Source organism: Homo sapiens, chromosome 11 (assembly GCF_000001405.40).
Source record: "Homo sapiens chromosome 11, GRCh38.p14 Primary Assembly".
NCBI lineage: Eukaryota > Metazoa > Chordata > Mammalia > Primates > Hominidae > Homo > Homo sapiens.
The window spans coordinates 97854476-97868413 of NC_000011.10; the positions used below are offsets into that span (position 1 = coordinate 97854476).

A 13938-nucleotide genomic window follows, 5' to 3' on the forward strand; every position below is an offset into this window, starting at 1 on the left:
TATAAAAAGGTAAAAAGATTCTTTCTGCCTTTGCAATCTTTTAGCAGACTTCTTGTGATGCACATTATGTTCTTGTTTAATACCGCGTCAGCAGTAAGATTGTATTCTTTCTCTTTTACCCTTATGGAGATGTTCTGGGTAAGGAGGAGATTTTGTTTTTAATTATCTTTCCCCAACTACACATACCTTCAAAATGCTTTTTTAAATACGTTTTTAAATCTATCACTTATTTTATAACAATCATTTCTTCTAAAGAAATCATCAGTCATAGACATATTTGTTCCCAAATCTGCATTTTTTCTTATTTTTGAAAAGTTTTTTTTTTTTTTTTTTAACCTGTATGTGTGTGTCTGCGTATTTATAAGATTTAAAAAGTTCGGGCTGCACGCGGTGGCTCACGCCTGTAATCCCAGCACTTTGGGAGGCCCAGGTGGGCAGATCACGAGGTCAGGCATTTAAGACCAGCCTGGCTAACATAGTGAAACCCCCTCTCCGACTAAAATACAAAAAAATTAGCCGGGTGTGATGGCGGGCGCTTGTAAACCGAGCTACTCCGGAGGCTGAGGCAGGAGAATGGCTTGAAGCTAGGAGACAGAGGTTGCAGTGAGCCTAAATCACGCCACGGCACTCCGGCCCGGGCTACAGTGCGAGACTCCGTCACACACACACACACGCAAAAGTTTGAAATGCAAAATATAAAAGAATAGAAAGAAGAACATAAAAGCAGTTAAGCTCTACCCTTCTATACTTCACATTCAGCATCTCTACTTCTGAGATAAACAAGGCACCCAATTGGCATTTCTTTTCACACCTTTTTCCATGTAGATTTATAATTTCCATATATAATTCCATATAAAAACATCTTTGCCAGCTATGTAGTACTAGGTTAAGTACAGATGATTTTGGAGTGCCTTAAGTGTAAGATGTAATTTGATAGGATAAATTTCCAAGGTTCTTCCTCTTTATTCCCAGGTATGGGGCTTTTAATAATGTCAAAGAAAAATTGCACCAAATGAAGTTAAACAGGAAGAAAGACTTTAATCAAGACTACTGTAATAGGGGTTACGTCTAGTACAACAGGGGAGAAGATTAAATTCAACTCTGTTGAAACAAAAGGCCAGAGAGTTTATAAACACTCAGATGAGTTGATGGAAAAGTCTGGGAGGACATTAAGGGAGAGGCTGGTACATGTAATTAGCCCACGTGTATTTTCTACTTGACATTTAACAAAGGCTTCTATCTGCTCACAGAGACTGGTATACAGGGACCCTCTCTTTCTTGATTATTACATTTCAAATAAATTGCTCCCAGGTTCTTGAGAAAGAAATTTCTGTGTTGTAAAACTGGCAAGAGGTTGGGAGAAGATTTACATCTCAAAGGGGTAGAGAAATAACTTAAATTGCAAGTTTTCTAAAGTAAATGCTCTAAGAAAAGAGAGATTAGGTGCCAATAGTTGGGAAGGAACATACCTGTTGTTTATTCAGGTTGAGGGGAATATTAAGGCCATCCAGGTTAAAAGTTAATAACCTGGTTAGAGCTGTGAAATGACCTGGTAGAAAAATATAAAATTCCAACAGGAATCAGGTGGCAAGTTTAGGTATGTGCTTAGCCCTTTTCAAAACAATCAACAGATAGTTGCTTAGGATGAGATATCAAGGAAATTCTGTATGTGGGAAGCTTCTGCTGAAATAAATGCAGTAATATATATACTAAGCTAGGCCCTGACATATTCTATTCCACATAACCATTTTAAATAGCTGAACACTTAATTTCTCTATGTGATCAGTTTCACCATCTTATTGACTGTAAATAGAAACCAATTACATTTTTTTCTAGCCATCATTTCAGGAACTATAACAAAACTGAAATGTCAATAAATATTGATACATCTTAGCTCAGCACAGTCCAATGATCTCATAACTTCCACTTCTTTTTGACAGTTTTTCACAGATCTAGTTTAACTCTGCTGTATATTTTCCAGTCTCCTCCAACCTTTAACCATATCTCTTCCTAATTAATTTAAATATCAATAACTTACCCCATCTACTGACAATTTCATAAACTTATACAATGTTTAGAACATTTCTACCTTTTGTAGATACGTATAATTGTTTTTAACATTGATTTGAAAATAAAAATTAGTAATCATACATGTATACCATTTATCCCATAAATATCACCTGTTCATGGTCGATTGCATAAATGGCACAGGCTATAAGGGTACATTATGTCTTCAAATACTGTAGTAAATTGTAATGAGGATAATACTTTTCCTTTTAACTTCTTTGTTTTGCTCTGTTTGTACAATACACAGAAAATTGCTCAGCTTGTGGTCTACAGCCAGCAATTAACACCACTTAGCAGCTGTTAAAATGGGTAATCGCCTGTTGTTACCTTCATGTGGCTTAATTCAAATGCTAATTGCTCTCTGAGCACTGATCATAAACCTATCACATCCAGTATAATCACAGACACATTGAAGTAAAATAACTACTACTTTTTCATGGTGGGGGGGAGGATGGTCAGAGTGGGAAAAAGAAATGTTCAAGAGATTTTAAAATTTGAACCATGATAAAATGCAATGGGGCAAATTTCAAAGGGATTTAGTATTCATGCGGTGCTATAGTTCCATCATGTAGAACTGTGTTGTCCATTATGGTAGCCATTTGTCATACATGGCTATTGAACACATAAAATAAACCTAGCCCAAATAATTTAAATGTACTGTAAATGTAAAATATACACCATATTTCAAAGACATATTACTAAGAAAATAATGTGAAATATCTCATTGATAACTTTTATATTGATTGCATGTTGAAATAATATTTTGGATATACTAGGTAAAATAAAAGATAGTATTAAAATTAATTTCAACTATTTTATTTTTTTAATGTGGCTACTAAAAACTTAAAAATTATATGACATACATTATACTTCTAGTACCTAGAACTGAACTAGTGGATGGACAAATTCCTAAAGTGCCTGGAAGGAATAGAAACAGCCCTCTTACCTTTTCATTTATATAACTTCTGCTTTGTTTAGGCAAGCATAAAACATGAGAATTAATAAGTTCATGTACCCCAATTAATGACTTTAGAAAATTGACATATTGTCTTTTCAAAACTTAACTCTAACTTTTAAAAAATATGCTAAAATGTAATTCCCAAAGCCAATCCAACTTTTAAAATGTAAAGACAAAATGAAATGGAAATGTCACTGGGAGAAGTAAAGCAGGCTCCAATTAATCAATTATTGAATAAATGGAAGGAAACAACATGCATTTTTAAAGTTAGTTTTAATAAAATACATTTGATTGTGTGCACTTTGGAGCCTTCACCAGGCAGCGGGAAGCAACAGTTCCATCTGTGTGCAATTTCAGATGAATGCAATTTCTACCCCACCCGCTTTGGCTCCATGGCTAATGAGAAAATGGAATGTGTTTGGTCTAAATAGCCTTGTTTGAATATAACACTATTGATTTCCTTATGACTCAGTCTCATTTTAGTGTCTTGAGAGACAAGAGGACTCATTGGATGAGACAAAAAATTGAGGTCCTGACCATTTGTGGTCATTAAGCAACCCAGGGCACATTTTGCTAGAGAGCAGGATGGTGAGCTTTAACTTTGACCCAGTTCCAGTGGAAGTCAAAATAGTCTAGTCACCTAAATTCTCTATGTATGTTCAACAAGGTTTCTTCTCTACCTTCATGCCACAAGCTGCAAGTTTTGGCTATTTTTTCTATTAAATTGCTGCCAACTTTCACTCCATAAGTCCCTACTTTTGAGTAAACTTAAAAGTATGTTTACAAAATACAAAATCTTACACCAGGCCTGGTGGTTTACCGCTGTAATCCCAGAATGTTGGAAGAGTAACATTAGGACAATCACCTGAGCCCAGGAGTTCAAGGCTGCAGTGATCTATGATCATGTCACTGCACTCTAGCAGGGGCAACAGAGTGAGATCCTGTCTCTTAAAAAAAAAAAAGAAAAAAATAACTCATCTCATAGAACCATTGTTATTTTGTAGTGAATTAAGAGAGTTTTATTATTATATTTAATACTATATTATATATTTGATGATTTTTTTTTTAATTTAGATACAAGGTCTTGTTCTGTCACCCAGGCTGGAGTACAATGGCATGATAACAGCTCACTGCAGCCTTGAACTCCTGGCCTCAAGCAATTCTCCCACCTCAGCCTTCCAAGTAGTTGGAAACACAGGCATGCACTACCATGCCTGGCTAGCTTTTTTATTTTTTGTAGAGACAGGGTCTCACTAAATTACCTAGGCTTGTCTTGAATTCCTAGGCTTGTCATGTAATCCTAGTCCTCCCAAAGTGCTGGGATCACAAAAATGAACAACCATGCCCAGCCCCAAAGATATTCTTTAGAAATACAGAAATACATGTCTATATATGATAGTCTATATTATTATTAAATTTGTAAACAGCAATTTCAGCAAACACACATTGTGTGCCTACTACTAAAATATGTTATATTAGGCAGTAGACATACAAACAACCAAAAATGGTAATTATTTTCAATAAGCTAAAGGTCTTGTGGATGAGATAGAAAATTTAACAGATATTTGCAATATCAAATGGTAAAAGTTACAAAGTTATAATGAAGAAAACAAAGAAGATAGTTTCCTAACCCACAGGAGATAGCAGCAGGAAGAGTGGTCATATAAATTACCCATATGTTTTATATTTGGCAATACGTATAAAAGGGAGAATATGAATACAAATTAAACAGTGGAAGAGGAGTAGAGAAGATGAACATAGCAGAAATCATATCAGTAAAATCAAGGAGGCTTGACTTGGAGTGGGATGTGCAAGGAATTCTCAGTGGGTTTAATCTGAGAACTAATGTGGAATGCAGAAGAGCAGCAAAAAGAGGTCAGGAAGAAGCAGGCCATGGAAGGCACTGATTTTATACAGTTTTTCTTTGTGTATCTATTGATTACTTGCATTAGTGTCACCTTAGGGTCTTATTAAAATATAGATTCTTGAGCCACTCCCCTAGACCTACAGGATAAGAAAATCTGGGTATCAGGGCTATAGACTGTATCAGGCTCTTCAGGTGAAGCCTAGCCATTTCAGAGAGAAGTTTATGAGTAATGAGAACTATCAAAGAGTAGTTAAGAGGGGGGACTTCTCATGAACAGATGTTGGACTTGTAGTGTAGATAGATTACTCTGATGATTACAGAAAGATAGTTTTGAAAAAGGGAAAGACTACCTAAAGTTATTTATAAGACTGGCAAGAAGTGAAAGACTAAAGCTGAAAGTAGAACATGCTTGTAGGGAGTTTACTCATTGTGGAATATAACCCCAACTTTTGCAACGGAGAAACAACAACCCAAAACAGAGGCATGAAAACAACGTTAGTTTTTCTTACATTCTAATATATAATTTGCACCCAGTGCTACACCAGGATTTTTAGAAAAAGCTAGGCATTGGAGAAATTTCATCATCCCTTTTCTTCCACTTTAACTCAAAACAACCATATGTAAAGTTAAAACAAAAATTGCACGTGTACCAAAATTTAAAATACTTTATGAATTTTGCAATTGTGTATTTCTGTATACATTTATCAATTCTGATTTTTAAAAATGTAATGTCCCTTTCTGGATATGCCAAAAGCACGTGCTTTATGTGCTTATTGGGTACAGAACTGTTTATACAATATTGCTGACATTAAAAAAAAATGCTTTCAAAAGATTTGATTACTTTTTTTTTCCATCTTGGGTATTTAAACCTGAGATATGAAGGCCATTCACAAGTACAATAGTAAATATGGAAAGAAGAAACCAAGAGAAAACAAATCTATAAGAAGATATGCTTACTTGTTAAATGAGATCAAGCCAGGAAATTATGAGATTCTGGAGGCAAAGAGGCAGATATGAATAGATAGAAGCTTGAAAGCTGAGAACCTGTGGTTTATATGTGACGTGTTGTAAAACCAAGGCAGACACATAGGAAGAGGAATGACTGCTCTCAGGAGATTTTGAAAAACCTGACTTAAGTGAGCCAGAAATGGAGGGAGGATATAAAAAATAAAGTTAATGCAAAGGAGTGACCACAGCTCTATATAATTATATGATGAATCATAAGATATCACTAACTACAAACCAAAGGCTTGGAATATGCTCATAATATTTACTAAATATTGAATACTGTGTGCCAAGCATGAAGCTGAATAGATTATAATCATTATTTTTATCAAATTCCCACAGCAACTCTGATATTCAGTAATCTAATCTTGATCACAAACCAAGGAAGCAGCAAAGCCTTTATTTAAGCCCTGGCTCATCTTCTCCAAGGTTCATGCTTTTAGTCATTATTCTCTGTTGCCTCTCCAGTGGTAATAGCTCCCAACAGAAGTGAATTTGAATCTTCCAGGAAAGTAGAATAAAGGGCAAAAATAAGGGGCATAAAAGAAAACTGTTTAGCATTTAACTTAGATTATCTCATTTAATTCTCACAAGAATATTAAGAGTTAGACTGTATGCACATTTTAAAAATGTGGAAACTGATGCAAAAGCAGTAAATATTATTTGCCAAAACAACCCTACATAGACACTAAGTGGCAGAGCCAGGTTGCAAGGTCAGCCAATCTGACTCCCCTGCTCATATCCATTCAGTCTTCATAGTGCAACATAATTTAAATAGTAAAATCATCAATTCCCAGTGAAATGCTAGGTTTAATGAAAAGTGACAAGGTTGGGGGAAATGAGAGACCTCCCACACCTGTACAGACGGAGGTACATATGTGAAGGCTGAGAGGTAACCACATTACCATATTCCCTCTCCATCCATTCACTTAAAAAATGGATTCAGTCTACGTATTAGTTTGCTACGGCTGTATTATAGACTGAAAGTTTGTGTCCCCCTACCAAAAAATCACGTTTGAATTTAATCTCCCAATTTCTATTGTGCTTCTTAAAATTCTTTCAGACTTTACCCATTATCCAATTCCAAACCACTTCCATGTTTTTAGGCATTTGTTATAGTAGTACACTTCTTAGTACCAAAATATTTATTGCAAAAAATTGGCTTATGTGACTGTGGCAGCTGGCTAGGCAAGTTCAAAATCTGTAGGGCAGGCTATGAGAAAAGACAGGCTAGAACTCAAGCAAAAGCTGAAACTGCAGTCCACAGGCAGAATTTGTTTCCTTCTGGGATGTGTTCATTTTGCTTTTAAGGCTTGTCAGATGTTTTAATGAAGTTCACCTAGATTATCTAAAATAATCTTTTTTACTTTAAGTAAACTATAGACTTTAATCACATCTATATAAAATATGTTCACAGTAACATCTAGATTAATGTTCAGTTGAATAACTGAGAACTACAGGTTAGCCACAATGACATATAACACTAACCATTACATTGTTTTTTAGTTTTTGGATTTTTTTATTCATATGCCCCAGTCTTGGTGCTACAGAAGCTGGCAACCTGGAATAGCCAATGGGCATGATAGCAACCATAACAACAAACAACAAATCTCCCCAAAACTTCTGCTTTATCTAGGACCAGAAAGTGGAACTCCAGCAAGGCAGGAACTTATGGACATAACTGTCTTACCTTATCCCAGTTAAGCAAGGCAGAAAAAAATCATAGGATCAACCTCAACCCTATCAGCAAAGGCAGATGAAGACATTGTGTTACTGGAAAACCAGGGGTTTGGTCTAGGTCCTGCTGCTCGCTTGATAGAAAGCCAATCCCTAAGACAAGGAGTATTGCCAAGGAAGAAGGCTTTAATCAGGTGCTGCAGCTGAGTAGACGGGAAATCAGTCTCAAATCCATCTGCCTAACTGACTATAACGAAAGAGCTAACATTCATGTTCTTGGTGTCCTAGAAGGGGACGGATCTGGGCTAGGCATCCTAGAAAAGAATGGGGCTGAGAATACATTCAAAGAAATAATAGCAATAATTTCCCAAATTTGAAAAAAGCCACTAGGTGCAAGGGTCTGAGTAAGCCCTAAACAGGATAAACCCCAAACTACCCTCACAAAGACACATCACAATCAAACTTCTGAAAACTAAAGAAAGACAAAGAAAAATCTTGAAGGCAGTGAAAGAGAAATGATACCTTATCCTAATTAAAATTTCTCATCTGAAGCTATGCAACCCAAAAGGAGGTAGCATGACATTTTTCAAATTCTGGAAAAGCAGCAACTGTCAAGTCTGAATTCTATATCCAGCAAAATGAAAAAGAAATAAAGACATACCCAGATGAAGGAAAAACTAAGAGAATTTTTATGACCAGACCTACCTTGAAAAACTGTCTAAAGGAAGTTCTTTAAATAGGAGGAAAAGGTAAAATAAGAAATCTTGGGACATCTGGTGGAAAGAAAGAAAAATTTAAAGAGCAAAAGATTTTCTTTCTTTTTTTGAATTTTAAAAATTATGTTTGATGGTTGAAGCAAAAAGGATAATATTTTCTGATGTGGTTCTAAACACGGGTAGAGAAAATATTTAGGACAGTTATAGACTATATAGAATTAAGAGACAAGGTGACATAAGATTTTTATACTAAACTCAAACATAAAATGTGGGCATGAGCAGAATCTAGTAAGTTATGTATATATAACTTAATGTCTATAAAAACCCCTAAAATTTTATACAAGATGTACAAAAACACTATACAAAGTAAAATATTATTCTAAAAAATATTCAAGTAACACAGAGTAAAAAAGCAAAAAGAAAATGGAGAAACACGAACAAAAAGGAAAAAAATAAAATGCCAGACTTAAGTCCTAATATAATTCTATCGAAGGTAAACAGGCTACATTCACTAATTAAAAGAGATAGGCAAAATGGCTTTAAAAACATGATCCAACTATATGCTAGGGCACTATGCTGACTAAAAATGCCAATCAAAAATGTTATATACTGTATGATTCCATTTATATAACATTCTCAAAATGACAAAATTATACATAGAACAAATTAGTGGTTGCTCATGCTTCAGGGTGGGTGTGCCTAATTCCCTAGTTCTAGCAGAAGGGAAATCTTCCTGATGATGGAACAGTTCTGATCTTGATTCTGCTGGTGGTTACATAATATGATAATAAGGCACAAGACAATACATACATTGTATTGTTGTTTCTGGTTTTGATGTTGTGCTATAGTTATATAAGTTATGGCCTCTGGGGGAAACTGGGTGAAGAGTTCATGAGATTTTTTTCACTGGAGTAAAAGTATTTCAGAGCTAGAAGAAATTTAACACATTTCTCAAAAAAATATGAAGACAGACATAATAGTCTCCATTCTTATGTGTCATTTTAAGTGTAATTCTGTTCTTGAATAAGATCTTGACCTCTAATTGGCAACTTCTCCCACTTTCCTGCCTGCTACCCTAACGTATCAACTCTATGGTATATTAATCATATTATCATATTTTGCTCTTGTGAAATTTCCTGTAGAACAAAAATGACTTTGTAAAATCATATGGCTCAATTCTCTGTCTCCCTGCATATGTGTGAAATATGTAAATCAGTTATCTCAGATGACCACCACCTCCTTAGATGATGTACATTCTTTCTTCTATAGTTTCCAAATATTTAAGAACTTTAGTCTCATAATTTTTTTCTATGGATTTATTTTCTGTGTGACAGTGTTAAAATGGAACTATTTATGTGTTACCAATACAATGGATATAAGATACTGTAATAAGCGTAAAACAAAGCTTTCCTGTATGCAGATGTTTCCAAAAGAAATATTGGAGAATATTTTTTCATCTTCTTTCCAAAAGAAATATTGGAGAAATAATTTATTTCATATTAATGAATCTTACACTATTCAGGTCTTTAGATAGACAAAAGATAAAGAAAATGAGGTACATGTACACCATGAAGTACTACACAGCCATAAAAAATAATGAGGTCATGTCCTTTGCAGGGACATGGATGGAGCCTGCTCCATCCTTAGCAAAATAACACAGGAGCAGAAAACCAAATACAACATGTTCTCACTTACAAGTGGGAGTTAAATGATAAGAACACATGGACACATAGAGGGGAACAACATACACTGGGGCCCCTTGGAGGGTGGAGGGTGGGAGTAAGGAGAGGATCAGGAAAAATAATGAATGGGTACTAGGCTTAATACCTGGATGATGAAATAATCTTTACAACAAATCCAATGACAAATATTTACCTATTTAGCAAACCTGCACATGGGCCCCTGAACTTAGAATAAGAGTTTAAAAAAAGGCAAAATAAAGATTTATTAGACACGCAGATGCATACACACACAAAAAGAGAGATTTTTAAAATGTATGAAGACATTTCCTTGGAGATAGGTTGATGCTGTGGGTTCATGAATTCCCCGTTTGGGATTGGGATTTTGGAGGTGATACCTCCTTCACCTTAATTCTAGAGAAAGTGAGCATTAGTAGGATCTGTTGGAAAATTATGCACTTCCCTATGGATAGAAGAGATTCAGGACTGTAGCCTCACTCTCAATGCAGAATCTACAGGGAGAAAGATAAGCTAACTAGCTGATTTGTCAGCTAAGCCAGGTGAGGGTTTTGTTTTGTCTTGTTCCAATTTTTGATAGAATGTTTGTTCTCCTAAAAGGAGAAGGATACATGAGTACATTCTGTGAACACAAAAAAGAAAGAAAGCCAGAGTGGGCAATCTTTGCCCCCTACAATGTGCCTTTTGAGAGGCATAGAAGACCCAGTAGAAGGAAGCTGATGGTGACGAGCTACGGACATATCTGAGGCCCTTGGACATGCCCAGAAGAGAAAATGTCAGTTTTAAGTATTTCCCATGCTCAGAGAGTACAAAGCCACTATACACAGTAAGCTGAACATATTTTAAAGGAATGATGTGGGATCAAAATCAAGATGTGTTTTTATTATATCACAGGTAGTATTACCAAAGATTAAATAGACAGATTTTTCAAATACATATTGTTTGTAGTCCAAATAATCTTACTCTTACAATTATTTTTTAAAACCCCTGACCTTTTTTCCAGCTTCTCCAAACACTTCTATAGTGACCATTAATTAACCAGTGCAGTGGCTTAGAAGAGAATAATTTTTCAGCTAATTAATACTATCACTTCCTTTACACAAGTCTTTTGAGTTTGAAGGAGAGAATCATTTCCTGTACAATGACTACAGTGTGGTCAAGAAGAACGAAAAAAGAGAAGAGATTTAGCCTTCGGATTGTGGTTTTTAAAAAAAGTAAAATGCCATTTCTGTGTCAGCTGAGTGAGCAAAATAAAAGCCAAATTGAATGTGTTGAGGAGTATCAGACAATAAAGTGGAAAGGCAGGTATATGAAGCAAGCTTGAAGAACTAGGAATACACCTAAATATGCTTATACATTATATTTCTCTACAAAATTTACAACCATAATATCTCAATTAGGATGAATTTCTACAGCAAAATAATTTATATAAATGTCAAAATATTTTTGCTTCACATAAAATATTTTTAGATTGCTAAAAATCATTTAAAGTTTTTTTTTACTTAGAAAAAAATAAGATTTGTTTCAGAAGATAAGATTAAAAAGACGAAGAGAGAGATTCTAAAAATTTCTTAAAGAGCATTTTCCCTGATAGTAACATATGCTTACTATTAAAATGAGAGAGCAGAAAAAAATGTGTATTTCAACTATTGAACAATGTCGCATTTTAACTTATTTTTAATGTTTTATAGTTGCTTTCCTTTACGTTAAACGTGTTAATTTTTATTTTAAAATATTTTTAAACTTGACAAGAGAATACAGATAATTTCCTAGTTCATCACTCCTTATGGGGTACGTGGGATATTTTGACACAGGCATGCAATGTGTTATAAACACATCATGGAAAATGGAGTATCCATCCCCTCTAGCATTTATCTTTTGTGTTACAATTATAACCTTTTAGTTACTTTAAAACATACAATTACATTCTTATTCACTACAGTCAACCTGTTGTGCTAGCAAATACTAAGCCTTTTTCATTCTGTATTTTTTTATACCCAGTAACCATCCCCGCTTCTCCACCTAGTCCCCCACTACCCTTACCAGCTTCCTGTAACCATCCTTCTACTCTCTATCTCCATGGATTCAATTGTTTTGAGTTTTAGATCCCACAAGTAAGTGAGAACATACAATGTTTGTATTTCTGTGGCTGGCTTATTTCACCTAATATAATGACCTCCAGTTCCGTCCATTTGCAACACCATGCAAATCTTGCTTTCAAATCTTGCCTATTGTGAACAGTGTTGAGACAAACATGGGAGGGCAGATGTATCTTCTATGCTGATTTCCTTTCTTGGGGGTACATACCCAGCAGGGGAATTGCTGGATTATTAGGTAGTTCTATTTTTAGTTTTATGAGGAACCTCCAAACTCTTCTCCATACTGGTTGTACTAATTTACCTTCCTACCAATAGTGTACAATGGTTCCCTATTCACCACATCCTTGCCAGCATTTGTTGCCTGTCTGTTGGATAAAAACCATTTAACTGGGGTGAGTTGATATCTCACTGTAGTTTTTATCTGTATTTCTCTGATGATCAGTGATGTTGAGCACCTTTTCATATGCCTGTTTACCATCTGTATGTCTCCTTTAGAGAAATGTCTATTCAAACCTTTTGCCAATTTTTTAATCAGATTATTAGGTATTTTATCTGCAGAGTAGTTTGAACTTCTTATATATTCTGATTATTAATGCCTTCTCAGATGGGTAGTTTGAAAATATTTTTCCCATTCTGTAGGTTGTGGGTTGTCTCTTCATTGTGTTGACTGTTTCCTTTGCTGTGCAAAAGCTTTTTAACTTGATGTGATTCCACTTGTTCATTTTTGCTTTGCTTGCCTGTGCTTGTGGGGTGTTACTCAAAAAATGTTTGCCCAGAACAATGTCCTAGAGAGTTTCCCCAGTGTTTTCTTGTAGTAGTTTCATAGTTTGTGATCCTAAATTCAAGACTTTATTACATTTTTATTTGATTTTTGTATATGGTGAGAGACAGGAGTTTAGTGTCATTCTTCTGCACATGGATATCCAGTTTTCTCAGCACCATTTATTAGATACACTGTCTTTTCCCCAAAGTATGTTCTCAGCAGTTTTGTTGAAAATGAGTTATCTGTCAGTATGGGGATTTGTTTCTGGGTTCTCACTCTATTCCATTGTTCTATGTGTCTGTTTTTATGCCAGTACCACATTGTTTTGATTAGTATAGTTCTGTAGTATAATTTGAAGTCAGGTAATTTGATTCCTCCAGTTTTGTTCTTTTGGCTTAGGATAGCTTTGGCTCTTTGGGGTATTTTATGGTTCCATATAAATTTTAGAATTTTTTTCCTATATCTGTGCAGAATGTCATTGGTATTTTGATAGACATTACATTTAATCTATAGAATGCTTTCCATAGCATGGACATTTTAACAATATTGATTCTTCCAATCCATGAACATTGAATATATTTCCTTTTTTTGTTTTCTCTTTAATTTCTTTCATTAGTGTTTTATGTGTTTCATTGTAGAGATCTTTTACTTCTTTGGTTAATTCCTAGGTATTTAATTTTATGTTTGGCTATGGTAAATATAATTACTTTCTTGATTTCTGTTTCAGATTGTTCACTATTTGCATACAGAAATGTAACTAATTTTTGCATACTTTTTGTTCTGCAACTTTGCAAAATTTGTTTATTAATTCTCTTAGATTTTTGGTAGAGTCTTTAGGTTTTCCCAAATATAAGATCATATCATATGCAAACTAGGATAATTTAATTTCTTTCTTTCTAATTTGGATGCCCTTTATTTCTTCTCTTGCCTTACAGCGCTATGTTGAGTAACAGTGGCAAAAGTGGGCAGTCTTGTCTTGTTCCAGATCTTAGAGAAAAGGCTTTCAGTTTTTCTCCGTTCGGTATGATACTAGCTGTGGATCTGTTGTATACGGCTTTTATTATGTTGGGGTACATTCCATCTATACCC

General features: G+C 34.8%; 1 annotated feature.

Annotated features, from left to right (window-relative positions):
- Positions 2034-2918: an enhancer, noted in NCBI's record as "OCT4-NANOG hESC enhancer chr11:97727509-97728393 (GRCh37/hg19 assembly coordinates)". NCBI's record gives its function as "activates a minimal SCP1, AML or CMV promoter by ChIP-STARR-seq in naive and primed H9 embryonic stem cells {active_cell/tissue: H9 hESC(naive and primed)}" and the evidence as "EXISTENCE:reporter gene assay evidence [ECO:0000049][PMID:30033119]".